The following is a 27,101-nucleotide window of genomic DNA, read 5'->3' on the forward strand; positions in this document are numbered from 1 at the left end:
AACATAAACACCACCCTCGATGAAACCAGGAGACATCAGTAACCCCAAACCACAGAAGAGCCACTGGCTCCAATTAAGCTTCTGCAAGTTGTACTTATTGTTCTTGGAGTCAGGACCCATGCCTAGGTTCTAGGCACAAAGCTCCCCTGGCTTCATCTTATTAAGGAGTCAATGCCCTATCTCACTCCCTCTGAGAAATTTTCCAAAAGAGCATCTTCTAACTTTCAAGTAAGCACAAGCCCAGCTAGGGGTGTGCGTGTGTGTGTGTGTGTTTGTGTGCGTGTGTGTGTGTGTGTCCATGTCCCAGGTACAGGCCTGGGAGCTAGACCAGGTCTGGCCTCTGGAGAATTACTGCATTCACCTGCTTCAGAGAAGAGCACTGAGCCAGTTTGTTCACACACCTGGAAGAGGTTAGCAGCCTCCAGGACCCGCTGGACATTCTGCTTGGTGATCAGCGCCTTGCTGGTGTACGTGTAGTCCAACAGAGTGTGCATGGTCTCAGCATCAACCCCTTTAATAATGATCCTTTTCTCATACTTTTCCTTTAAATCGTTGCAGAACATGGCCCTGGAAGAGAAATGTGTGAATGTGAATCGTGCCGAGACCCTTGGTTCCAGGCCTAAAGAGATCCCCTTTCAGACTCATCAGGCCCTCACAGAACAGGGGGTTTCCCAAGGTCAGGTCCTGGGCTGGTGGCTCTCTGTTCTCCAGCACCCCCTACGCATTAGACATTTCATCAGTACTTACCGAGCTGAACTGAACTGCCCTGCTCCTCCATGCCCGATTGTGATCTCCAAAGTCAGTCCCAGATCTATTTTATTGGCTTTTATTGGCTCAAAGTGCAGGAGATTCATCTGAGGGCATTGTGGAATCCCCAAGCTTCATCTTTTCTCTTCCACCCAGCACCCAAACAGGGCTTCTGACTCTCACACTAGCTCTCGTTTGGCCTGGAGCCTGGCCCCACATTCTGGCCTGGCCAGCTGAGGCCCAGATACCTGCCAGAAGTGCAAGTGGCTCCTGTAGCTGCCTCTCACCCCAGCAGCTGAACCCAATGTCCGTAGGTTCCCAGATGCAGCTGGAGCCTTGAATTCCCTCATTTCAGGACTCTGTCTCGCCTCTGGATTCTGCCTTTCCTGCTCCCTCCCCACGGCTGGACTTCCAGATATTTAGCCGCCATCTTGGCTGCAGGGGAAGAGGATAGAAAGGATGTAGGTTTTATCGTAGCATTGGATGGACCAGGATTTGAACACCAGCTCCACCAACCCAGGAGTTGGACAGGTCATTTAATCTCCATGACCTTCAGTTTTCTCATCTGAAATGGGGATTTTAATAGCTATTTTTTAAGTTTATTGTAAGGATTAGGACCCAAAGGACTATAAATCATTCTACCATACACATGCACGTGTATGTTCATTGCAGCACTATTCGCAATAGCAAAGACATAGAATCAACCCAAATGCCCACCAGTGATAGACTGGATAAAGAAAATGTGGTACATAAACACCATGGAATACTACGCAGCCATAAAAAAGAACGAGATCGTATCCTTTGCAGGGACATGGAAGGAGCTGGGGGCCATTATCCTTAGCAAACTAACACAAGAACAGAAAACCAAATATCTCATGTTCTTACTTATAAGTGGAAGCTAAATGATGAGAACACATGGACACATAGAGGGGAACAACACACACTGAGGCCTACCGGAGGGTAGAGGGTGGGAAGAGGGAGAGGATCAGGAAAAATAACTAATGAGTACTAGGCTTAACACTTGGGTGATTAAATAATCTGTACAACAACTCCCCATGACATAAGTTTACCTATATAACAAACCTAAATACCCCTGAACTTAAAATAAAAGTTTAAAAAAGAGAGATATAGAGATTTTTTTTTTTTTACCCCATGCCAGGCCCCATGCCAAGCCCATAAGAATTTATCATGCTTCTTGGACTTTGACATTTAAACTGTTGGTCCTTCCCAGGGAATGTGTGAGCAATTTTATTTATTTTTAAAATGCATGTAACTGAACCATGCTCTGAAAACATTTCTGGAATTTTGGAAACTTATATGGTACCTAAAATATAGCAAGAATGCATGAATTAAAAGTAGGTGGGGGACCGGGGGTGGGGGCTTATGCTTGTAATCCCAGCACTTTGGAAGGCCAAGGCGGGTGCATCACTTGAGGTCAAGACCAGTCTGGCCAACATGGTGAAACTCCATCTCTACAACAATACAAAAACTAGCCAGTCATGTCTAATCTCTTGAACCCAGGAGGCAGAGGTTGCAGTGAGCTGAGATTGTGCCACTGCACTCCAGTTTGGGCAACAGGGCAAGACCCCATCTCAAAAAAAAAAGAAAGAAAGAAAGGAAACTCTAACCCCGCAGTGTGACTCTATTTGGAAATAGGGGTTTTAGGAGGTAATTAAGAAAAATGAGGTCATAGGGCTGAGGTCCTAATCGGATAGGATTGATGTTCTTATAAGAAGAGGAACAGAGACCAGAATTCTCTTGCACGTGCTGCCCCGTGTGAGGACTCAGCGAGAAGGTGGCCATCTGCAAGCCAGGAAGGGGACTTCACCAGAACCCACCCATGCTAGCACTCCAATCTCGGACTTTCAGGATCCAGAACTGTGAGAAAATACATGTATGTTGGTTAATCCATCCAGTCGATGGTGTTTTGTTATGGCAACCCAAGCTGAATAAGGCACATTTTGGTACTGAGAAGTGGGGCGCTGCTGTCACAAATACTGAAAAAATGTGAAAACAGCTTTGGAACTGAGTCATGAGTGGAGGTTAGAGGAGTTTTGAGGTAAAAGCTAGAAAAAGTCTAGATTGCCACAAATAGGATGTTGGCAGAAATATGGGCATTAAAGATCATTCTGGTGAAGTCTCCAATGGAAATGAGGAACACGTATTGGAAACTGGAGGGAAAGTGATCCTTGTTATAAAGTGGCAAAGAAAGGACTAAACTGTGTTCTGCTGTTTTGCAAGAGGTGGAACTTGCAAACAATGAAATTGGATATTTAGCTGCGGATACGTCTGAGCAAAGCATGGAAGAAGCAGCTTTGTTCCTCCTACTGCATGTAGTAAAATGCAAGGGGAGAGGGGTGAATTAGAAAAAGAATGTTTAGGCAAAAGGGAACCAAAAATTAAAGAGTTGGAAAATTCTCAGCCTACCCATTCTGAGAAAAATGAGGGAGCATGTTCTGAAGAGAACGCCAAAAATGTGGCTGGACTATCATTTAATAAAATGCTTATGGAATTATAGGAACAGAAAGAAACACTGCCAGTTTGAACTGAAGGGGAAGAGACAAGACAATTGAAGGAAGGCTGTCAGACTTCTTGGATTTGACGGTAAAAAACAATGAGGTACTCAGCTGTGAACATGCATTTTTTTTTTTTTTTTTTTGAGACAGAGTCTCACTCTGTCACCTAGGCTGGAGTACAGTGGTGCCATCTCGGCTCACTGCAACCTCTGCCTCCCAAGTTCAAGTGATTCTCCTGCCTTAGCCTCTGGAGTAGCTGGGATTATAGGCACTCGCCACCACGCCTGGCTAATTTTTGTATTTTTAGTAGAGATGGGGGGTTTCGCCATGTTGGCCAGGCTGGTCTCAAACTCCTGACGTCAGGTGATCCACCTACCTCGGCCTCCCAAAGTACTGGGATTACAGGCGTGAGACACTGCACCCAGCCCTCACTATTCTTCCAGAAGAGGGAAAAATTACCCTAAGGGTGATTCAGAGATAATCAGGACCACTGCCTCGGTTCAAGAAGCCAGACAGCCTCCATCAGACACCTGGGAGTCGGGGGAGGGGTTGTTGGGAGGACTCACACCTCCAGCCATGGAGGTGACACTGCCACCTCAGTGGGCCAGAAGGGAAGACAATCAAACCAAAAAGGATTATTCTGAAGCCTTGAAATCTAATGGAATTTATCTCACTAGATTTTGGACTTTCTTGGGACACATCACTTCTTCCTTCTTTCTGTTCTTTTTTTGTCTGTGTTTTTTTTTTTTTTTTTTTTTTTTGAGATGGAGTCTCACTCTGTCTCCCAGGCTGGAGTGCAGTGGCACAATCTTGGCTCACTGCAAACTCCACCTCCCGGGTTCACGCCATTCTCCTCCAGCCTCCCAAGTAGCTGGAACTACAGGCTCCTGCCACCACGCCTGGCTAATTTTTTGTATTTTTAGTAGAGACGGGGTTTCACCATGTTAGCCAGGATGGTCTCAATCTCCTGACCTTGTGATCTGCCCGCCTCTGCCTCCCAAAGTGCTGGGATTACAGGCGTGAGCCACCGTGCCCAGCCCCATCTTTCATATTTCTCCCTTTTGGAATGGGAATGTCTATCCCACACTTGTCCCATTATTGTATTTTGGAAGCATACATCTTGTCTTGTTCCACAGGTTCACAGCTGGTGAGGAATTTTGCTTTAGGATGAATTATACATAAAGTCTCACCCATATGTGATTTAGATGATATTCAGACCATAATCTGGACTTCAGAGTTGATGCCGGAATAAATTAAGACTTGGGAAGCTGTTGGGATATAATGAATGTATTTTGCATATAAGAAGGACACGAATTTGGGGGCCAAGTATGGAATGTCATGGATTGAATTGTGTCCCCCACAAAATTCATATGTTGAAACCCTAACCCCTAATGTGAATGTATTAGGAGATAAGATTTTTAGGAAGTAATTAAAGTGAAATGAGATCATAAGGGTGGATCTCAATTTGATAGGATTCGTGTCCTTATAAGAACAGAAAGAGAGATTCCACACCCACCTCACCACTCCTGCTCACGCACCGAGGAAAGGCCATGTGAGGACACAGTGAGAAGGTGGCCGTCTGCAAGCCAGGAAGGGAGCCCTCACCAGAAACCAGATCATGCTAGCAACTTGATGCTAGACTTCCAGACTCTATAGAAGTGTGAGGAAATAAACATTTCTGTTGTTTAAGCCACATAGTCCATAGTATTTTGTTATGGCAGCCCAAGCTGACTAATACTGGCAGTCTGTATCCACCCCAGACCCTTGTAGTTCACAAACTAGCAAGGGCATTGATGCCCAAATAACAGTCTACGAGGGGCCATAAGAGACCTACAAAGTGCTGTGGAGGCCAAGAATGGCTACTCATAGAGAAGGAAAATTCTGAAATGTGAAGATTATGGATAGGATTTCTAGGTAACAAGCACAGTGAGTAAAGCCATAAAGATGCAAGGGCATGAGGCATGAAGAGAAACTAGCAGACATGTGATTCAGTTGAAGCTCAGGGGACAGGAGAGGGATGAAACAATGGTCTGGAAAGATAACCTGGATCCTGCTTGTGGAGGGCACTGAAGGCAGGATAGGGAGTTAGGTTTTCACTCAGTGAGCAATGGTGAGCCGTTGAAGGTTGATGAGCAAAGGCAGGACTCAAAGAGAACATTTTAAGCACATGTGTTCTCACTTTTGTTTGCAGGTGATGGGTGCCACTAGAGTCAAGTATCAGATGAACCCATAAAGAGCTGGGAGGCTTGTGACAATGTCAAAGCCTTTTCTCAGAAAATGTACTAATTGAGGCAGTAGCCACACCGCTAGGGAACATCTCCAAACATTAGTCACTGGACTTTCTAAGCTACAGACACATGAACAGGTTAGGGAGCCGTTATCTCCCAGCCAAGTCACTGAAATGCAAAGGCCCTGGGTGGAGCTCTGGTGATGTAATTCCAAACGCTCGGACTTCCATCTCAACACGGAGGGGATTACACCTCTAAGTCCTGCCCCTCCTCTCTATCCCACACTTCCTATTTATCTCTGGAAATCAATCATCAGTTCTTTCCTTCCTTCCTTCTTTCCTTCCTTCCTTCCTTCCCTCTTTCTTTCTTCTTTCTTTCTCTCTTTTTCTTTGTTTCTTCCTTTCTTCCTTTCTTTCTCTTCCTTCTTTTCCTGGCCTCAAGTGACCCTCTTCCCTCAGGCTCCCCAGTAGCTAGGACTATAGGCACCCACACCCAACTTTTTTTTTTTTTAATTTTTGTAGAGACAAGGTCCCACTCTGTTGCCCAGGCTGGTGGTGAACTCTGGGGCTCAAGAGATCCTCCTTCCTCAGCTTCCCAAAGTGCCAAGATTACAGGCATGAGCCTCCGTGCCTGGCCACTCATCCATTTCTTTACCCCTTTTCCTAATCTGCAAAACAAAGGTAACTGTTTATGGCTTCCCAGAAACATTCAAAAGTCAAAAGACTTCCAGAGAGAGAACGAGAGAGAGACAGAGATACAGAAAATCACTAGACACTTGACTTGCTGACTTTTTGGACCTTTTGTTTTAGTCAAGGTGATCGTCCCCCCTCTGTCCTTCCGCCTCCGTCCTTCCCCCTCTGTCCTTGTTGTTTTAATCAATGGTAACCCTCCTAACCTTTCCTTCCCTCCCCTCTTCTCTTTTCCCTCAGCTGGCCTCTTTCTCCTCACAAGAATATGGTAATAAGAAAGAAAGAACGAAGGTGAATTCCGGGGCCTCTGTAAAGTGAAGAAATCCCCGCCCAGAGCTGGGGGAGCCGTGATGATATCAGAGCAGGTGACCAATTTACAGACCAGTTTCCTCAGCCACAAACCCTCTTGACCAGCAGCACAGAGCTGTCTGCAGAACCGTAATCACCAGCCTTTAAAAGTACTTTACTTTTAAAGTACTTTAAAAGTACTTTACTTTTAAAGTACTTTGTACTTTTAAAGTACTTTAAAAGTACTTTAAAAGACATTACTTTAAAAGTAATGTCATATAGGGCTTGCCTCGCTGCCTCCTGATTTTATAAAGAATCTGCTCTCAGAGACAGCCTATGATTTCTTCTCAGCTCAGCATATCTTCCCTGGAGGAGTTGGAAGATCACTCTCTAAGCCTCCCTTTGTTGGAGTGTCCAGAGCAAGGCTGCCCAATAGAAATGTAATGTGAGTCATCTATAGCATTTTACAGTTTCTAGTCACCACATTTTTTGTTTGTTTGTTTGTTTTTTGAGACAGAGTCTCACTCTGTTGCCCAGGCTGGAGTGCAGCGGCACGACCACAGCTCATTTCAGTCTCCATCTCCAGGGCTCAAGTGATCCTCCTGTCTCAGCCTCCCAAGTGGCTCGGACTAGAGGCATGAACCACCATGTCTGGCTAATTTTGCAATGTTTGTAGAAATGGGGTTTCACCATGTTGCCCAGGCTGGTCTCAAACTCCTGGGCTCAGGCGATCCACCCACCTCGGTCTCCCAAAGTGAGGGATTACAGGCATGAGCCCCACCATGCCCGGCCCCATTTTTAAAAAGTAAAAAGAAAAAAATAAAAGTCAACTTTAATAACATATCTTATTTAACCCAAAATATACCTGAAATATCATTTCAACACGTAAGAAATATTTTAAAATGACTAATGCGATAACTTACATTCTTTTTCTCATACTGTGTCTTCAAAGACCATCATATATATGTATGTATATATGTATATATGTATGTATGTATGTATATATGTATGCATATATATACATATATATATATATATATTTTTTTTTTTTGAGACAGAGTCTCTCTCTGTTGCCCAGGCTGGAGTGCAGTGGCACAATATCGGCTCACTGCAGCCTCAGCCTCCCGGATTCAAGCGATTCTCCTGCCTCAGCCTCTTGAGTAGCTGGGACTACAGGCTCATGCCACCACGCCTGGCTAATTTTTGTATTTTTAGTAGAGACGGGGTTTTACTATGTTGGTCAGGCTGGTCTCAAACTCCTGACCTTGTGATCTGCCCGCCTCAGCCTCCCAAAGTGCTGGGATTACAGGCGTGAGCCAACGTGCCCAGCCTTATGCGTATTTTATACTTAAAGCATCTCAGTGCAGAGTAGGCACAATTCAAATGCCCAACAGCCACATGTGGCTAGTAGCTACCATATTAGACAGTGCAGCTCTTGCCATCAGTCCTGAACTCAGGTGTTGGGGTCACCCAGACCTACAGTCATCTCAGGAGGCAAAGCAAATTTCACCCTCGTGAATGTCATATAAATAAATATATGGGAAACAGGAAGTTCAGCAGGACAGGGTGGGCACTAATTATGGGGTCAAATAAGCTTCATATAACTGAGGCAACACATCTCTAGAGACCCACCAACATGACATTTAGAAATGTTATTTCACCCGGACTGTGACTTGAAGATTAGTGAGAGGTTAATTTGGTTGAATCTGTATAATCAAGTCTAAAGGAGGGATGTTCCAATGGTTTAAGTTAATGCTTTGCACTCCAAGGAGCTCCTAAATGAAGTCAATGTGTTTCCCATGTGACATATTATTGGGCTCTCTAGGGTCATCTGGACTCTTAATTGGGCTGTCACTGCTAGCCACGGCTTCCGAATTCTTTTTGAGACGAGTCTCGCTCTGTCGCCCAGGCTGGAGTGCAGTGGCACAATCTCTGCTCACTGCAAGCTCTGCCTCCCGGGTTCATGCCATTCTCCTGCCTCAGCCTCCTGAGTAGCTAGGGCTACAGGCGCCCGCCACCACGCATGGCTAATTTTTGTATTTTTAGTAGAGATGGGGTTTCACCACGTTAGCCAGGATGGTCTCGATCTCCTGACCTCATGATCTGCCCCCCTCGGGCTCCCAAAGTGCTGGGATTACAGGTGTCAGCCACTGTGCCTGGCCCCAAATTCTTGTTTGGAATCACAGTCACTTAATAACATGCTGCCCCAGCTCAGCCCATGTCTGACCGGGCATCTGGATTCCCTGCAAGCAGACCCCCTCTGCTAGTGACGTAAGGGAACAGGGGGGCAAGACAAGGGGGGGAGGAAGCCCAGCAAGACAAAAGTCATGCAAAAAGTGGCTTCAGCCTGATCCTGCAGGGACCTCTGGAAAAGACACTTCTGAATTGTCCCACCAGGAGGCAAGGGCCGTGATACTCTCTGACCACACTGACTGTCTTTGGTTACAGGCCATCCAGGAGTAGGTAAATTCTCCAGCACATCTGGCTTTGTGTATGTGTGAGTTTGCATGTGCACAAGCCAAGGGACTTCCGGGAGCCTGGGGAGGGCAGGGGAAAAAGAGCAGCCACCTGGCTGTTGGCAGGCAGAGGAGGGACTGGTGTCTAGTCTGACCTCTGATGCTCACTCATTGTGTGACTTAGTGCAAGTGAGTGAACCTCAGCTTCCTCATCTGTAAAATGGTATAATAGTCCCCACCTCAGTGAGCTGCACAGAAGAATAAGCAAGATGAAGTACACCAAGGCGTTAGCACGATACCTGGCACCTCGTCAGCACTCAATCAGGGAAAGTATTTTGGACCAAATCAGAGGAATCTTGGAAGGTTGGTAGGAGACACTTAGGGGTAAGTGGACCAAGCACCACACTGACTCACAACCCTTATCTCTTCAGCATTTGGCCGGGTGCGTATCAGGTAACTGCGTGTCTGACTTGCTGCATTGCTGTCGACCATGCATCCAGAGCAAGCATAGGGCCAGCGCTGTGCACGAATCGGCCTAAACATCTCAGCTCAGTTCGTGGGAGAGAAAGAAAGTGCCCTCAAGACAGTGTCCTTCTCTCCAGGGGTCTTTTTAACCAGCTTTGACTCCCCAAGGCCCAGCATTTCTCTGCTCCCTTTGAAATATTTTCATGAATTTTCTGCCACTTAAATACACTACCCTGGCCATGGCCACCATGCTGAACATGGGTAAGATGAAACTAAGGGGAAATCTGCATATTCCTCATAGACTATACTCCCAGGCCTCCTGCTGCTCCTCTGGGAGATCCATGGACACACTCAGACAAAGCTTGGTCCCCATGGGTTGTCAGCAATAGAGTAGGAATCAGAACCTAGGGCTTCAGGCTCTGAATCAGGAGCTCAGCAGTGCACGAAAACCAAGAAAATCAGCAGGAGTTCAAGGCCTTTTGCGGGGGATCAACTCAGTGTCAGCGCTCAATGGACCAGCCCAAACTTTGCTCTCTGAGAACACAGCTGAGTTGGTTGCTGACAACTTATCCTGTGGCATACATGCAAGATATTGTGTAATAAAAACACTTTCTAGAAAGACACTGACCAATTCTCATGAGATTGTTGTAAAACAGAGGTAGCTAGGAAGATCCTCATTTTACAGCAGAAACAATCTCACAGCAGCATACCAGTTGCCCAACACTTGGGCGGTGAGTCAGTGCCCACCCCAAAATAGAGCCTGACCCAGCAAGCTTGTCTCCCACAACAGTCATGAAAATATCCACAGGCCCAAGAATCTCCCAGCATGAAGTCAGGCCATGCCACAAACACTGCCTGGCCACACGCCTCTCCATTCTCCACCAGGCTTCCTCACCTCAGGTCTCTGCCAAACATCGCCTTCTCAGAGAGGCTCTCCCCGACACTCCCCCTAATCTAAAATCGCCACTCCCTCACCTCTTCGCTTCCTTTATTTTTCTTCATAGCTCTGCACATCCTGAAATTAGATTACCTATCTATTTGTTAATTATTGTCACCCCACTAGAATGCCAGCTGAGTGAGGGTGTGCCATGCTCAGCACTGTATCTAGGGGCCAGAGCAGTGCCACCACCAAGTAGGGACGGTCCCTAGGGAAAGTGAGTGAATGAATGAATCAACCAACTTGTCCTTCCTAGTCCCTTTGCACTTGCTTTTGACAGGAATCTGTACCTCCAAGAATTATCAAATATATCTGGAGGATGAGGCCCTCCACCGCCACTAGGGAACTCCTATCACACTCCCGAGTCCAGGGCCTAGAGCTTGAAGAGGACACTCGAACATTCAACGTACCTGCACTACTTCAATGAGCTCTACAAGCTCCTGTAGTTCCTAAACTTCACCAACTCAGAATATTTCACCCAGCCCGACTCCATTATAGCTGACCCCTTCCCTAGAACTCCACACCTCTGAACTCCCTGCCTCCTGTAACCCTAATTCTAACCCTATAAACAAATACCCACACCTATCACTCCCACTATCTCACTCCTACACCGGCTCCACCTGTCTGCCCCCTGTTCTGTCCTTCCTCTTATTTCTTCACCATTCCCCGTTTATACCAGGAACGAACTCCCCTGTTTCACTGAGATATTCTGTGTGGCGGTGGCTTTAACATCAGTTGCAAAATGAGTTAAATTCTACTTAAGAATACAATGTCCATATGTATACAATCAGTTTAAAAGTTTTTTAAACTAGTCAGCATGTACTACACAATGAACACTATTGTTAAGAAAGGATTATTGGATATAAACACAATGAAGTCAATCAAAGGGGGTTCCATTGCAAAGAAAGCAGGGAGTCAGCAGATGCAAGTGTGACCTAGCATGACATGGCATCTCTCTCTATGGTCCCCAGCACTTCTTAGTTCAAGGCACCAAAACCTGAGCCAATACTAACCAAGGGAAGCACTTAAACATTCAGCTCTGCCCTGTTTCTGAGCTCAAGCTGTCCCCTAAGTTTTATCATATGGATCCTGTCTCAATACTGGAGTCCTGCTTACATCCTTGGCCTCAGATACTCCAGCCTCAAGAGGTGGATCTCAAAATGTGTTCCCTGAACCAGCTGCATCAGAACCTTGGGTTGCTTATTCAGAATACAGAATCCTGTACCCCACCTACCTTAGACTTACTAAAGCCAAATCTCTAGCAGTAGGGCTGGAGGTATGTATTTAATTAGGTGTCCCTGGCTCCGACTCATAATTCCTTTGCAAAGCAAACTTTGAGAACCTCTGCCCTAGAAAGAGGTCACCCCTACTTCCTCCTGAGAAGGAGACTGAATGAAGATCAAGGTCATGGAAACAATTGGCCATAGTGCTAGGGAAGATATGTTTCGGAAAGTCCTCCCTCACTATGGATCCTTCCTTTCATCTTCTAAGACACAGCCTTCCTAGAATTCCATGAGGCCTATGGCTGCCTCCCGAATCAGGTGGCAATCCCATTCCGTTTGCCAGCTTTGCTCCAAACTGACAGAGGAGCTGGAAGCCTACAGCTGCCCCGATCTGACTCTAAGCATCAGCAGGCCTCAGAATAACTCCCTTCTGTGGGCCAGGCACGGTGGCCCATGCCTATAATCCCAGCACTTTGGGATGCCGAGGCTGGCAGATCTCGAGGTCAGGAGTTCAAGACCAGCCTGGCCAACACAGTGAAACCCCATTTCTACTAAAAATACAAAAAATTAGCTCGGTGTGGTGGCGGGTGCCTGTAATCTCAGCTTCTCGGGAGGCTGAGGCAGGAGAATTGCTTGAACCCGGGAGGCAGAGGTTGCAGTGAGACAAGGTCGCACTACTGCACTCCAGCCTGGGTGACAGTGTGAGACTCCATCTCAAAAAAAAAAAACAAAAAAACAACTCCCTTCTGCCAAGCTTCTTGCCCTAGTTCACCACTCCTCAAGGACACTGCCCACGGCCCCTGTGGAGAAGAAAACTCTGGCCATGTTCCTAGGGAAGCAGAATCCCTCCAAGTCCCACCAGACCATTGCTGATGCCTCAGCTTGCCATGAAATTCTGCCATCCAAGTTTATGACAGAAAGAAGGACTTGTTCTGTCTGCAAGATCAGACAAGAAAGAACATCAATTACAACATATACTTGTGGTCAGGCTTTAGTGACGATACAGTCACAAAGATACAATGGACAGTTTTTGTTTTGTCTGCCCAACTTACTCCTGTCTCTTTTAGCAGGAGTACTCAGATCTTCCGTTGGGAAACACCCCACCGTCCAAGCCCAAGCCACAATGATTGGTTCAGGGATGGGAATAGGAAGAAGCCAATTCAATTGGAGCCAATTCCAGAACTTTCTTTGGAATTACTGAGAAAGAGAAGCTGTCTCTTCCCACTAGAATTGCTGAGCTGGTGGACATGAAAGTTTGGAGATGCTGGCTACCTGCTTGTCCTCATGTGTGAATACATTCCCTGAGAGAGAAACCCACACAGAGGAAAGCGGGACTAAGAAGGAGAGAGAAACTGAGTCATGGTAACATTACTTTGGGCACAAGGACCCAACTATACCTGAAACCATTACCCCAGACTTTTTTTAATTCCATGAGCAAATAAATTATTTTTTCCCCTTTATGCTTGGACCAGTTTGAGCTGAATGTCTGTCACTCGCAGGGCGGAGTGATACAATTGGACAAAAGAAATCCCAGCGATTCTCTGAATTGGAACTCCAGGCCCGTTTTTGTTTGTTTGTTTGCTTGTTGGTTTGTTTTGAGACAAGATCTCTCTGTTGCCCAGGCTGGCCTCAATCTCCTGGCCTCAAGCAATCCTCCCACCTCAGCCTCCGAAGTAGCTGAGACTGCAGGCACACGCCACCACACCCGGCCCCATTGATGATTACCCTAAGCTCTCCTACCTGAGAGTTTAACTTACAAAACATGGTGATTATTCTTTACCTTTGTCTGCTTTTGTTTTTACACATCTTCCACCTCCTTCCTGAAGATGAAACCTGGCTTCCCCTAACAAAACCCCACTTCCCTCACAAACCAACGAGGTCGGCTCAGATTCTCACTTCCCCTCTGGGCCTGGAGCAGGGTCCGCATTTGCGCTCGCCGTCCACCACCACATCCCGACCAGGCTATTGCCCGGAGGCTCCACATGACCCTCTTTTTCCACTTTCCACTCCCACCTCCAGGACTCTGTGGCTTCCCTGTGACCATGTCATTGTCCAGAAGTTAGGGATCAGCCTCTGCTTAAAGATTTTTTCTGAGCCTTCCCTGGTTCTAACCACTTAGAAACTTGCAAGCTGGCACTGGCCCCAGTCTTTACCCCAAGGTATTCAAATGCTAAGGCTCCTCCAGTCATAAAAGGTATCCCTTGTGACAGGCAAAGATGATCCTATGTGCGTTCTAGGCTGCTCCCTCCGCCAGCTGCCACAGAGGAATCTGGACTGCCAGGCCTGTCCCTTGGGCTTTCATGATACAGAATCCAGAGGGAAAGGGACAGAAGACAGGAGCTCCTCCAGCTGGGGATGGGGAGCAGTTATGAATCTAGACGTGAAGGAGGAGCTGCCACAGTTGGGCTACACGCAGGAGTGCACAGGCCAGGCTTGACTTGAGCTAAAATCCAGCGCCCCCTACACCTGCCAAGCCTTGTGCACTAACGTGGATTGCAACCCCCAGAAAGGGGCCCCCATTTCTAACTGGTCCTCCCAGGTAACTTATTTACATTCAGAGGAAGGGGCTGAGTGTGGTGGCACATGCTTGTAGTCCCAGCTACTTGGGAGGCCAAGGCAGGAGGCTCACTTGGGGCCACGAGTTCAAGTCCAGCCTGGGCAACATAGCAAGCCTCTAAAAAACACAAAACAACAAAAACAAACAAACAAAAAAACCAAAGGAAGGCACCCTAAAAGCCAGCAGTGGTCTCTATCAGAGATGTGGATAAGAGAGGGGAACATATTTTAATAATAGCTGTGGCTCTATCTCCAAGGTGTTCAAGAATTGCAAGTCCAGAACTTGAGATGTTTTGTTTATGAGCTTTGCTCTAAAACGGGATAGCCTGGGCAGGAGAAGGGTTGATAAGGTCAGACCACTTTCTCTTTCTCTTTCCAATCTTGAGGCTCAGAGCTGGTCCTCAGCAAAGAGTGGAGTCAGTTTGCTTTGTGTTCCAGCCCTCCTAACCTCACTTCCCCCTACCCTTCCCTGCTGGGCAGCGCTGCCTCTCCCTCATGCTCTCTGTGGTCCGGCTGCCCTGCAGGCCCTCAGAGAGGATGTGAATGTTGCTGGAGGCCTTCTCCCCAACCACACTGCCTATACCTTAATTCCAACCCTCATCTCCTCTCACTGAAATTTCTTGCAACTTACCTAAGGGTCTGCCTAGATTGATGGGACCCTCCATACCCACAGTGCAAAGGATTATTTTAAGGGAGATCTTGGATCACATCTCTTTCCTACTTAAAGACTCTTCCACGGCTTCCCACTATCTGTAAGTCATGTTTCAAACTCCACAGCTTCACCCAACAAAACCTTTCCCGGTCTGACCATGCCTGTCTCTCAGCCTTATTGGCCTGTGCATGTCCTTTATTTCAACCTACTCTTCTACCTGTGGTTACACTGCGTGGCACCTTCCCGGATGTGCTTCTCTTTGCCTGGAATGCTCCTCTCTTCTCCTTTCTCCCCTCTGGCCCCTTCTGGCCAATGCCTACTCATCCTTCAAAACTCCGTTCAGATATCACCTCTGCCAGGAAGCCTTCTCAGACTGCTCTTTCTTCCGTCTGATTTAATGCCCTTCTGTAAGCTCCTATAGCTCCCATGTAGCAAACCTCTCACAGCCCCTGTCCCCAGCTCCACCATAACCCCTGTGCAGAGCTGCATCATAGCACTTATCACCCTGTACAGTAAACATCAATTTACTTATCTCTCTGTCCTAACTAGATGATGATTTCCAGGTCAAGCAGGAACCATAATTTATTCATCTTTGTAAACTCTGTGCCTGCCACAGAGTAGGCACTTAATAAATTTGTGTCAAATGGATGGATACATGGATGGATGGATGGATGGATGGATGGATGGATGGATGGATGGATGGACAGATGGATGGAAATTCACTAAGTCCACTCAGCACTGTAGTTCTGAAAGTTTAACATTTTGCATTCCTTCCCCTCCAGGTATTTGCACATTAAGAGAGATAATACTGGCTGGGTGAGGTGGCTCAAGCCTGTAATCCCAGCACTTTGGGAGGCTGAGGCGGGCAGATCACCTGAGGTCAGGAGTTCAAGACCAGCCTGGCCAACATGGCGAAACCCCATCTCTACTAATAATACAAAAACTATCTTGTTGTGTTGACCTGTAATCCCAGCTACTCTGGAGGCTGAGGCAGGAGAATAGCTTGAACCTAGAAGATGGAGGTTGCAGTGAGCTGAGATCGCACCACTGCACTCCAGCCTGGGCGACAGAGCGAAACTCCATTTCAAAAAAAAAAAAAAGAGAGAGAGAGAGATAATACTATGCAGTGCTCCTTAACTGAAGGCCTGCTAATCATCGGTGGTACACTGGAGGAGCATGGGAGGAGTGAGGATTTTCATAGCAGTTACTAAGAATTCTCTCCCCCTCCATTTCCAGGCCCACCTGCTAATGAGACAGACATCGTCTGCCAACCCAGCCTGCTATCCTGAGTTTTAAAGACACTGCTAGTCACCTGACACTTTCCTAACTTTCCCTAATCTCTGTTCTCTTCTGTCCTATTTTTTTGTGTTGCGTTCGCTATACACAATAATACAATAAAATTCCACCTTCCAGGAGTTATCCACTGGGCCTCCACCTCTCCCAAAATTCCCCCAACACCAAAAGGCCCTTGATACTCAGCCCTCCATAAACCTGAGCTTACTCTACAAGACACATGATCTTTTCAATCCAATAAGGTCTTACTGGACCCTGGACCTGAATCATTATATGCAAACCTGCTGAGTGTCTATTATTTATTGTAGATCCCAGAGCATCTCTTCAGAAAGGGCTATGATGCAACCTGTTAGTTTTGGTTTGATTGTGTTTTAAAGCCGTAGCACCAGGCCGGGTGTGGTGGCTCACGCCTGTAATCCCAGCACTTTGGGAGGCCGAGGCAGGCGGATCACCTGAGATCAGGAGTTCAAGACCAGCCTGGCCAACATGGTGAAACCCCATCTCTACTAAAAATACAAAATTAGCCGGGCATAGTGGCACACGCCTGTAGTCCCAGCTACTCGGGCGGCTGAGGCAGAAGAATCGCTTGAACCTGGGAGGTAGAGTTTGCCGTGAGCTGAGATCAGGCCATCGCACTCCAGCCTGGGCGACAAGAGCGAAACTCAGTCTCAAAAAAAAAAAAAAAAAAAAAAAAGCCATAGCAGTATCAGCACTCTTGTAATTATGGTGGCCTTAACGTTTTCCATAGAAGTTAAATACAGTAAAAGAATGCTAACCTTTACAGCTAGCAGAGGACATGTAGGTTGCCTAAGTGATACTTTTTCACAGCAAAGGAGACTTATCTTTACGTGGAGATGGCCTCACCAAAAGCATTTAAGAAGGCTTTTACAAAAGAAGCAGAGGGATCATAAAACACAAAACAGTAACAATAAAAATAAGAACACAAGAATTAAGAAATTAAAGTCGAAGGAGAATATGTCTCTGAAACCAAGGCTCAGGAAAGTTAATCCACAGAGCTTCCTGACAGTCACAGCAAAGGCAAAAGTGCGACAAATTGGCTAATAAGAAAGTAAAGCAGTGTTTGTTACCCCTCTTTAGCGGACTTTATTTTTCCTTTTGTCCAGCATCTCTCCATATCGGGAAATGCTCTTCTCCCCATCCAGGCCCCACTCAAATCATGTGATTCAGGCGGGAGCTCTCACGTCATTACAGGCCTCTCCGCCTTTCTATCTTCTGTCTCTCTCTCTGTCTCTCAAACACACACACACACACACACACACACACACACACACACACACACACACACGCACAGCTCTTTAGCCAAGGGTGGACTCCTAACCTAGGCTGGGCTGATCATTGTGCCCCACCTCCCTGGCACAGTGATTGGCCTAGGATTGGGTAACTGAATGGGGCTGAGCCAATCAGAGTCTTTCCCAGGGGTTTTTCAAGCCACAGGTAGAGAAAGTCCCTCATTTTCCCTCCAGAGCCAAGGCTAGGAGTCTCATAGCAGCCAATAGGCAAACTCCCAACCGTGTGGCAGAAGTCAGCCTGAGAAACCCAACCTGAGAGAAGCCAAGTGAGGGGTGGAGAAAGAGCACGCAGGCTGCACGAAAGGGCCTGGTTCCTCTTCTCCCTGGGCTCTGCTGCATCCCAGCCCTTCCTATGATTTGATAATGTGACCAAATACCTTTCTCTTTGCCTAAGCTGATTGACTTGATTTCCTATCCCTCGAAACCAAAAAATGCTCACCAATAAAGGAATATGAGGCAGCGCAAATGGATGTTGCGCTCATGGCAGTTTTACCAAAAACACAAAGGCTCTGCATGTGGCCAGCTCTTTTCGTGGACTGTTTGGTGCTTACCATGTTAGACCCTTGTCCTGAAAAAACATTTTCATGGAGGGACAGTTGCATATCCATGGGTTTGATGCAGGGATAAAGCTCACAACTTGAGCTATGAATGATGAAAATATTTCTCTGTTGTGTTTTAGTTGGGAGCTGCATGGAAGATTATCTAAAATTGAAGAATAGATTTTCTAATCTTGATTGGAATAATATCCACATGCTGTGGATCTCTCTATGAAGAGGCCTGTTTTCAGTTTAGACATCATGGGTAGGGGTGACAGAGATGACACTTCCTTGAAAAATCAAAGGACCTAATGGCACTTCTGCCCTGGTGCAGAACCCCTCTCCCCACTCCCAGTGCAAAAAAACAAAAGAACTGCAAGAGTCACATTGTATGCATGGCACATCTGTATGCAGGTGGTCACATGAGCGACCGGTTCAATCCATAATATTCTGAGGCATTTTGGATTTTGGAACTGTTCCTTCCCATTTTTCCTGTGATAGCCACATTTTATCATCTTTCCCTTTTCTAAAGTTGCCCAATAGCTTCCCACACAACTCTGTGAGGACTTCCTGCTCTGGCCAGGATGCTACTTAATCAGTGACTGGACCTGCAGGAGGAAGATCCAAGCGTTCGTTCACTTCACGCATTTACAGGATGTCTGCTGAGTGTCAGCCATTGCAATGGCATCGAGGAGAAGAATAAGGTGGTCACTGCCTTCACATGGCTTGCATTTTCAACCTGCTTTTAGTCCACCCATGATGGATGATGCCTTCATGCCACACATCCCTACAAGTGTATCCAGGGCTCCTCACAGTTTTGCAGGGAGCAGAGGAGTGAACGTGCTAATAATTACCTTCTTGCATATTTGGGTCTCAGGATCCATATCTCTGATGCCTATGTGACAAGGGTCACGGAATCCCCTCATAACTGTGTAGTTTTCATGATACTTTAACATCTATTCTGCATATATTGCAGGCCTAGCAAATAGTTTTGAATTGGAAGCCGTTGATATCAACAAGCCCAGTCGGAGGAAAGCCTGCTTGGGTGGAGGCAGGACAAGCAGCAGCAGCCTCCAGCTTCCAGAGACAGCCCTGACAGCAGTGCCAGTGGCTGCAGCTGTGCAGCTGTGGCCCCAGCATTGTACAGCAGCAGGGAAGTCCTCCCCACAGGAGTCCTGGGTGGCTTCGGGCTGCGGTCCTGGCCCCTGTCTAGCCTCCCTTGCACCTGTTTGTCTTCTGGGTTTGGTTCTCCAAACTTCTTTGGGGATTTTATGAGTTCCTACTATCATTTACATAAATTCCTCTTCTCGAATAAGCCAGAGTTGATTTCTGTTTCTCAGAACCAAGAAATCTGACTTATTACCACGCATAAAGTGTTGGGGCAAATAAATTAATAAATGAATCCATTTTACTATTCGCGTTTCACAACTTGCTGGGATCGGTAGACGTAAATTGTTAGCCTCGCTCTATTGTAGACATCGGCGTTGAGCCTCAGAGGAGCCAAGCAATTCCTCCAAGATTTACACAGCCAACAAGTGGCGAGTCCGGACTGAAACCCCAGTGCCATAAGTCTTTTTTTTTTTTTTTTTTGACGGAATCTCTCACTCTGTCGTCCAGGTTGGAATGCAGTGGCATGATCGCAGCTCTCTGCAACCTCCGCCGTCCGGGTTCAATCGATTCTCCGGCCTCAGCCTCCTGAGTAGCTGGGACTACAGGCACACGCCACCGTGCCTGGCTAATTTTTATATTTTTTAGTAGAGACGGTGTTTCACCATGTTGGCCAGGCTGGTCTTGAACTCTTGACCTCAGGTGATCCACCAGCTTCAGCCTCCCAAAGTGCTGGGATTACAGGAGTAAGCCACTGCACCCGACCTCAGAGTCTTTATTTATTCCACTTAGGACAACTATTTGTATACTCACTGCTGAAGTACTAATGCATTAGACTAAAGAGCGCTGGAGGTGCTATATAACATTTAAGATATGCTAATATCCAAAGAATTCTGAATGGCAAAGCACATCTGGCTCCCAGATTTTTGGGTAAGGGATTATGGGGCTTTCTGATAATGTTAACAGTTTTCATTTTGGTGTTATTTGTCTACCTTTTCTCACATGCATATCTTTCCATAGTTTACATGCAATTTTGCATCTTGCTTTGCCCCCTGTTTTCATTATAATATTTTTCCTACGGTGCTCCATGCTTTTCATAATGACTATTTATTATATTGCTACCAATTTCAACAGAGGCATAATATGAAAATCATTCTCTCACTGTGGACATTTAGGTTGCTTCCAGTATTTTGTTTTTATACGTGACGTGGTAATCTTTGCATTAAGCATTTTTTCCCAGTTTGGAATATGGACGGCCTACATTTTTTCAGGCACTTTGCTGGATTCTTTTTATTTCATTCAGTCTTCATAATATCAAGTAGATAGCATGGTGTCCATTTCATCCTTGGGGGAGCTCACTTTGATGGGAAGAGTGGTTTCCCCATGATGTCTAAACTGAAAACAGGCCTCTTCACAGAGAACAGAAATGTGGCTAACAGGTCATTTCCTATGACCCCTCAGCTCCCCAAGACTCTTTTGCTAGTGTAGGCTACATAAGCTGAAAATGAGGAGGAAATGTAAAAATCAGAGCCTCCTTGTGCTCATACACACATGCACAGGCAGGATACTGTTGGAACATTCATTCCAGTTTATGTCTGGGGGCTGAGCTGACAGACCCCCATAGCAGCAAGGACCCAGCATGCCTTAGGACATCAGTCTGGATCAAAGGGTTAAAAAAGAGACAAGGAAGCAGGGTCAGGGTGTGCAAGGTGAAAAGACAGTGCGCTCTGAAAATATATGGGACCTCACTGTGGCTAGAACCAGAAACTGGTTCTCACCATTTGGGAAGCCCAGCTCACTGCAAAATATGGCACACTCTGTAAGTGACAGTGACCTGTGAGGGCAGCCCTGCTGTGATTCCCAGGGTTGGCAGAGGGAGGGGAGTCCTAGTGATGAGGGGAGGGGTTATCAGGCTTTTCTCTGCCCTGTCTCATGACTGGCCCTTCCTTCATGCATAGAAAAGCTTCCAGGCTGAGGCTGAGTCATTAGCAATCTCCTTTGTTGATGCTGCTGCCTGGAATCCTTGTCTGGATTCCTGTCTCACTCCTGTCTTGTACCGCAGTCTCTAGGTCTGGTTCCTTGAGGCTATGTTGAGAGGACTTTACCCGCCAGCTACAAAAATCAGGCATAAGGCCAGGAATGGGAAGGTTATTGTGAGCACAATCTATGCACTTGTTAATCATTATTACATATTAACCAATTACTGCATGGCAGAAAAGTGGGGCAAGAGACTACTCTTAAGCCACATGTAGATGTTGTAATCCTGAGCTTTGTCTCCATAATGGGGTAAGATGTCAGAAAAGAGTCAGAAAGCCCAGGTGATAGAATAAGTGCCAAGAACATATACACCATGGAATACTGTGCAGCCATAAAAAGGAATGAGTTCATGTCCTTTGCAGGGACATGGATGAAGCTGGAAACCATCATTCTCAGCAAACTAACACAGCAACAGAAAACCAAACACCGCATGTTCTCACTCATAAGTGGGAGTTGAACAATGAGAACACATGGACACAGGTAGGGGAACAACACAACCCGTGGCCTGTCGGCGGGTGGGGGACAAGGGGAGGGAGAGCATTAGGAAAAATACTTAATGCATTCAGGGCCTAAAACCTAGATGATGGGTTGATAGGTGCAGCAAACCACCATGGCACGTGTATACCTATGTAACAAACCCGCGCATTCTGCACATGTATCCCAGAACTTAAAGTAAAATTTAAACAAATTTTAAAAAAGAGAATAAGTGCCAAGAAAAACAAGAATGAGTTAAGGCCATGTAGGTCTGTATTAAAAATCTGGCTAACAGCAAATGTGTTGAGGATTGCTGCTGCCACAGTGGGTACACTTGAGAACTCAAGTGAAGCCAATGATTGTAACACCAGGGTCAGGCCCTATATTTTCCACTTTTAATATTTTCCAATATTGTGGATCAGAACCAATATGATAGTAAATATTTCAGCATTATATATCTATAATCCCTTATCTGTAGTTTCAAAATTCCCAAAGTGCTGATAAATGTAAAGTTTTTTGTAACTTATTTCATGGCTAAATCCAACTTGAATGGCACTCGTCAGGTCGGGACACCTGAGTCTTGCTCTGTTGCCCCGGCTGGAGTGCAGTGGCATGATCTTGGCTCACTGCAACCTCCGCCTCCCAGATTCAAGCAATTCTCCTGCTTCAGCCTCCCGAGTAGCTGGGACTACAGGCATGTGCCACCACGCCCAGCTAATTTTTTGTATTTTTAGTAGAGATGGGGTTTCACCATGTTAGTGCTTGACTCTTAAATAGGAACAGATATCCAAAGACTACCAGATATTTAAGTATAGCCTCTAAAATAAAAGACAGAGGCCAGGTGTGGTGGCTCATGCTTGTAATCCTAGCACTTTGGGAGGCCGGGTCAGGAGGATCCCTTGAGCCCAGGAGTTTGAAACTATCTGGGCAACATAGGGAGACCTTGTCTCTAGGAAATAAATAAATACATACATAAAATAGAATAAAAGAGACAAAAACAAAGAGAAAAATACAGTGAAAACAAACAGTAAAAAACAAACAAAAACAGAAGAGTGGTTTTTTAAAAAATATAAACCTCAAAGAGATTAAGTGAAAATATGACCTATACAAAACAAGAACAGGATGTTATAAAAAGGAAGCTTCATACATAAAACAAGAAAAAAGTCTTGGAAGTTAAAAACTGAGATTCTCAACAGGTTGGAAGATAAAATTGAGAAAAATCTTCCAGAAAGTAAAACAGAAAGATAAGAGGATGGACAACAGGAGAGAGAAGATGAGAAAGCTAGAGACTGTTCTAGAAGTCCACATCTACTGAATAAGTGATCCAGAAATAGTAAACAAGGAAAACAGTAACCATGTAATTACCAGGCAGTAATATGAGGAAATGTTCAGGATTAAAGGATGTGACTCTCCAGATTAAAAGGGTTCATCAAATGCATAGCATAATGGTTGGAGTAAAACACACATACACACACACACACGCACGCACACACACACCCCTCCAAGGCACATCATTGTGAAATATCAAAATGTTATTTAAAATCAAAGAAAGGCCAGGCGTGGTGGGTGGCTCACAGCTGTAATCCCAGCAATTTGGGAGGCGGAGGTGGGTGGATCACCTGAGGTCAGGAGTTCCAGACCAGCCTGGCCAACATGGTGAAACCCTATCTCTACTAAAAAAATACAAAAATTAGCCGGGCATGGTGGTACATCCTGTGGTCCCAGCTACTTGGGGGGCTGAGGTGGAAGAATTGCTTGAGCCCAGGGAGGCTGCAGTGAGCCATGATCAAGCTGCTGCACTCCAGCCTGGGCAACAGACCAAGACCCTGTCTCAAAACAAAACAAAAATATATGCGAGGCCTTAAAAATTTACTTCCTATGGGCTGGGCGCAGTGGCTCACGCCTGTAATCCCAGCACTTTGGGAGGCCAAGGTGGGTGGATCACGAGGTCAGGAGATTGAAACTATCCTGGCTAACATGGTGAAATCCTGTCTGTACTAAAAATAAAAAAAAATTAGCTGGGCGTGGTGGCGGGCGCCTGTAGTCCCAGCCACTAGGGAGGCTGAGGCAGGAGAATGGCATGAACCCAGGAGGCGGAGCTTGCAATGAGCGGAGATACTGCCACTGCACTCCAGCCTGGGCGACAGAGCAAGACTCTGTCTCAGAAAAAAAAAAAAAAAAAAATTACTTCCCATGCACTCTTTCTTAGGAAGTTATTGGAGAATGTGCTTATCAGGGTAAGATGGTAAACCAGGGAAGAGAAAGATAGGGGTTGAAGGGAGAAGGCTCCATTCAACATAGCAGACAGTCCCGGGGAATGATGGAGAAGCAGGTGAATCCCAGCCAGCGTGCAAATCCAGGGAACATGTGTAACATGATGCAAGGCAGGAGGATTCTGAGGAAATGGAACTGGTAGATTGTTTGATGCATTGGACCATATGAAAGATTTTTGTGAGCCTGTGAGCAAAAGACACCCCAAAACAAAGCAAATGAAAAAATGAGTGAATTAATAACTTCAGGAAAGACAAAAGGTTTACAAGAAAAGAAACGTGATCATTGAGTAATTTGGCTCAACAGAGAACAAGGTTTTCGTGAACATAATAATGTAAACTCTTGTTGTGATAACATTATGTTGAAAGATTACAGGGAAGGAAAGCTTATGGTAAGAGGTTAGGTAAGGATACTAAATCCTTATTTGAAATCAGTGAATGATGTCTAACACTGAAAAATCAAGAAAGAGCAGTATAAGTGTATTTTGCAGAAATATAGAGCTAGTGCCAGAAGAAACAAATAGAAGTTGAAAGTGGTAGCCTTTGGCGCATGAGACAGGGTGGAGGAGGAAATAGGAATTTTTGTTTTTTCATTATAAGCCTTTAAATACTATTTAACGCTTTGTTTACTATTTGCATATCTTTAATAAAAAATAAAATTTAATTTTAAAAAAATACATGAAAAACAGAAAGGCAGTGAAGAGACAGTTCAACAAAAAAAGAACTGCAGATGCCCCTTAAACATACGAAGAGATGTTTGATCTTACTAAAAATAAGAAAAATGCAAATTAAAGCTAAATTGAGATATTCTTTCTCATTTATCAGATTGGTAAAACTTCAGCGGTTGGATGACACCCTCTTTTGGTGATGCCGTGGGGGAACGCAACATGATTCAACCCCAATGAAAGAGAAGTTGCAATAACCGCTAAGACTGCAGATGCATTTGACTCAGCAAACCCCCTTCAAGAAATGCATATGAAAAAAACTCATGTTTCAGGTTATTCATTACAACATTGTTTGTAATAGCAAAATGTGGATTAGAAATAGTCCAGATGTCTGTCCGTAGGGGACTGTTTAATAAACTATTGTCAGTCCCTTAGTGGAAAGTAATTATTTTCTCAGTGAATAAAGGAAAAAAATGACATAATTTTATAACCAGCTTCCAGGCCCTCCAAAACACAGAGAGCTGTGTTGAAAGCCTCACAGACTGGTCGGGCGCGGTGGCTCACGCCTGTAATCCCAGCACTTTGGGAGGCCGAGGCGGGTGGATCTCGAGGTCAGGAGATGGAGACCATCCTGGCTAACACAGTGAAACCCCGTCTCTACTAAAAATACAAAAAATTAGCCGGGCGTGGTGGCAGGTGCCTGTAGTCCCAGCTACTCAGGGGGCTGAGGCAGGAGAATGGCCTGAACCCTGGAGGCGGAGTTTGCAGTGAGCAGAGATTGTGCCACTGCACTCCAGCCTGGGCGACAGAGCGAGACTCCGTCTCAAAAAAAAAAAAAAAAAAAAAAAAAGAAAGCCTCTCAGACAGAGAGACTCTTTGACCTCCCTAAACCTGAGCATACGAAGAACCCCTTTCAAAACCTCAGACACAAAGCGAGAGAGTGTGTCAGATTTAACGTCAGTCCTAGGTCTAAATCCCAGCTTGGCTACTTTTTATTTGCTGTGACACTCTGGACTTTGGCTCACCGTCGGTAGGCTGGGGATAGGACTCCCTGCCTTGTCAGGTTGTTGTGAGGGTGGAGTGGACTAGAGTATGTGATACAGAAGCTACAGGGCCTGGCCCACAGTAAGCGCTCCACAAACAGGAGTTGATAGGAATAGTAGCACCGGAAGAAAGAATCCTGTCTCCAGGACAGTATTCATTGTAGAAGGAAAGTCACGTTGAAAATCCCAAGAGAAGAAGCAAAAGTCACTTCTCTGAAGAGAAGAATTGAAGGAATTTCCTCTCATGACCAGGCAGTTTTGGGAGAGGCTCTGTATACACAGTCAGATGCCTTCACCCTCATGTTCTCCAGCTTCTCATTGCCGTTGCCTCCTCTGACGACCGGCAGAGACTTTCCCTAAGTATCCTGGATCAGCAGGGCTGGAAGGACCCAAGCCCAAATTCCCATTTAGGATGAGAAACCCAAGAACCAGAGAAGACCAGTGATCAACTCGAGGGCACACAGCCAGCGGGCCTGGTCCACAGCCAGGCCAACCCGCTAACAAAACTGCTTCCAGGTATGCATTTTATGATAGCAAGGGATACAAAAGGATCAACCTAAATGTGCGTCCCCAGGGCATTGAGCTAACTTGACTTCACTCACTCCTGAGAGGGGCTGCAGTCAACGTGAAAGCACGTGATCAAGGTTGGTGGAGAAAGTAATGTGTTTATATCAACCCATTTTGATGGCTGTGTTTACACTTTATATTTTACACACTTCCCATGGAATGAAGTCCCAGACCTAGTGGCAGCTTGCATTGCAGTAACAAGGATTTCCAGAACATACCCAGTCCCTGCTCCAGCAATGACCAGATATATAATGCTGAGTTTTCATTTCCTCATCTGTGAAATATCAGCCACCTTCATCATGCTGTTACAAAAATAAAATCAGATAACTATGTCTGTCTGGCACACAGCAGCCACTGCTTCCCTCAAACCCAGATATCCCCTTGTCTTATCAACACAGGAGACCTAATGAGTCCCACAGCAACCTGCTGATCCTGCTCTATGAATTACAAAGAAACGTTTCCCCCCAAGCACCTCAAAAAAAAAAAAAAGAAAGAAAGAAAACGCTTTCCATAATACTTTCATAGGTTAATCGTTTTCAATTTCCTCAGCCAGAATCAAGAGTTAAGAAGAATCTCATTAAGAAGAATTCTAAGGGTATTTCTTTTCAAGTTCCCAAATACTTTCTTCATTATCCACATTGCCCTTGCAGGCTGGTTCCCCCATGTCCATGCTGATATGGAGAACACTGGATCAGGTGTATTCACTGGGTTCCCAGCGCTATAAAATTCCTACCCCAGGGACGTGCTCATGGGAAACACTCAATAAGTCATCCTTAGCTGAATCAAGCAGAATCAGAAAAAGAATTCCAAGAAAGATATATTGAGCATCTACTTACTATATGCTAGACACTGTGTAGGACCCTTTTCACGCTCTTGTTTAATTATGACAGCCCTGAAAGGTGATCATCATTGTGCTCACCTTACAGATGATGAAACAGACATTCAGAGCACTTTGTGACTTGCCTAAAGTTTCACTGTCAAGAAGGAACCAAGTCTCCTGACTTCAGGCCTTCCCACTATGAGATCACCAGTTTATCGTAAC

The 27,101-nt window shown here is 45.7% G+C and overlaps 1 protein-coding gene and 1 long non-coding RNA gene across 4 annotated transcripts in view, besides 4 other annotated features; one reads left to right on the forward strand and one right to left on the reverse strand.

Annotated features, from left to right (window-relative positions):
- The window catches only part of KLHL6 (kelch like family member 6), a 68,156-nt gene that overhangs the window by 39,893 nt on the left and 1,162 nt on the right, over positions 1 to 27,101 (reverse strand). For 2 of the 3 annotated variants that reach the window (XM_011513274.4, NM_130446.4), the window contains exon 2: positions 402 to 567. In XM_011513274.4, coding sequence (XP_011511576.1) covers positions 402 to 567 — 166 coding nt within the window. Of the gene's footprint in view, positions 1 to 361; positions 568 to 27,101 lie in introns of those variants that run through there. The other variant, XM_011513273.4, reaches the window with a different exon arrangement.
- Positions 5,454 to 5,713: an enhancer, noted in NCBI's record as "active region_20892". NCBI's record gives its function as "activates an Ori minimal core promoter by ATAC-STARR-seq in GM12878 lymphoblastoid cells {active_cell/tissue: GM12878}" and the evidence as "EXISTENCE:reporter gene assay evidence [ECO:0000049][PMID:35858748]".
- Positions 6,413 to 6,492: an enhancer, noted in NCBI's record as "active region_20893". NCBI's record gives its function as "activates an Ori minimal core promoter by ATAC-STARR-seq in GM12878 lymphoblastoid cells {active_cell/tissue: GM12878}" and the evidence as "EXISTENCE:reporter gene assay evidence [ECO:0000049][PMID:35858748]".
- Positions 13,536 to 13,645: an enhancer, noted in NCBI's record as "active region_20894". NCBI's record gives its function as "activates an Ori minimal core promoter by ATAC-STARR-seq in GM12878 lymphoblastoid cells {active_cell/tissue: GM12878}" and the evidence as "EXISTENCE:reporter gene assay evidence [ECO:0000049][PMID:35858748]".
- On the forward strand, positions 21,292 to 24,883 carry KLHL6-AS1 (KLHL6 antisense RNA 1). The gene is made up of 2 exons (NR_046687.1): positions 21,292 to 21,520; positions 24,610 to 24,883. It is a non-coding gene; the product is annotated as a KLHL6 antisense RNA 1 (long non-coding RNA).
- Positions 25,123 to 25,292: a silencer, noted in NCBI's record as "silent region_14941". NCBI's record gives its function as "represses an Ori minimal core promoter by ATAC-STARR-seq in GM12878 lymphoblastoid cells {active_cell/tissue: GM12878}" and the evidence as "EXISTENCE:reporter gene assay evidence [ECO:0000049][PMID:35858748]".

Source organism: Homo sapiens, chromosome 3 (genome assembly GCF_000001405.40).
Source record: "Homo sapiens chromosome 3, GRCh38.p14 Primary Assembly".
In the NCBI taxonomy this organism is placed as follows: domain Eukaryota; kingdom Metazoa; phylum Chordata; class Mammalia; order Primates; family Hominidae; genus Homo; species Homo sapiens.